A 965-nucleotide genomic window follows, 5' to 3' on the forward strand; every position below is an offset into this window, starting at 1 on the left:
CCTATGCCAAAGGGAAAAATTAAGCTTGGAAGCTGAGTCATGCACAAAAACAAACAAACAAAAACCCCAAAACCTGCCTTTCCTTTTGTTCCTAAACAGTTACAAGATAAAAGGCCGCATATCTCCCCGGGTGGCATCCCTCACCCTGAAAATGTAAATTAACAGCTTATCTTTATGAGTGTGGGACAAGAGGAGACTAGAAATTGTCCCCTCCACCCTAAGGCAAATGCATATTTGACTTCTTCCTCTACTCTGTGTTTACTTTATCTTATGTAAAGTGCAGTTTTACTGAGCAAATACATAACTGACTGCTCCTCTACTCCCTCATTTTCATATGCAACATGTGGATTCCGTGAGCGCTAATGAAAGCCTCACAAGAATGTGACCATACTCTTTATCTCTCTTTTTTTCTTTCCTCCTTCCCCATCCTGCCCACTTTTTTCTCTTTAAATATTGAAGCTCTCAAAATTCTCTTTGGAAAAAGTGCAGGCCGCAGATCCTACTGTGCCTTGTGTCTCTTTTTCCCAGGTGCATCCTCAACCTTGGCAAAATAAATCTCTAAGTTGATTGAAGCTTGCCTCAGTCATTTTATTTGGTTTACAATAGAAGTCCCTGGCAAATGAGGGGGAATAGCACTACAATTACATGTTTGGCTTAGGCTGAATTAAGAGTAACATGCCAGAATGGAAGACTCTTCTCAAGGGGAAAACTCTTCCCAAAACAGAATCCTTGTACTAACCCACAGATTCTACTGAGGATGGTTTGTGTTTAAACCACAGATTTTACTGGGGGTAATTTGTGTTTAGAGATGGAGATTGTGGGAGAATTTGCTTCAAGCTGCTGCCTCTGGTTTCTGGGACAAGTTCATACTCTGTCCTTTACTGCTCAGTACTCTACATCTATGAACACAGGAAAAATTAACCCTGGGCTAACCCTTATATTTCAGCAAAGCCCTTGGGTTTCCT

The 965-nt window shown here is 41.1% G+C and overlaps 1 annotated feature.

Annotated features, from left to right (window-relative positions):
- Positions 1 to 502: an enhancer, noted in NCBI's record as "NANOG hESC enhancer chr15:54124093-54124594 (GRCh37/hg19 assembly coordinates)". NCBI's record gives its function as "activates a minimal SCP1, AML or CMV promoter by ChIP-STARR-seq in primed H9 embryonic stem cells {active_cell/tissue: H9 hESC(primed)}" and the evidence as "EXISTENCE:reporter gene assay evidence [ECO:0000049][PMID:30033119]".

Source organism: Homo sapiens, chromosome 15 (assembly GCF_000001405.40).
Source record: "Homo sapiens chromosome 15, GRCh38.p14 Primary Assembly".
NCBI lineage: Eukaryota > Metazoa > Chordata > Mammalia > Primates > Hominidae > Homo > Homo sapiens.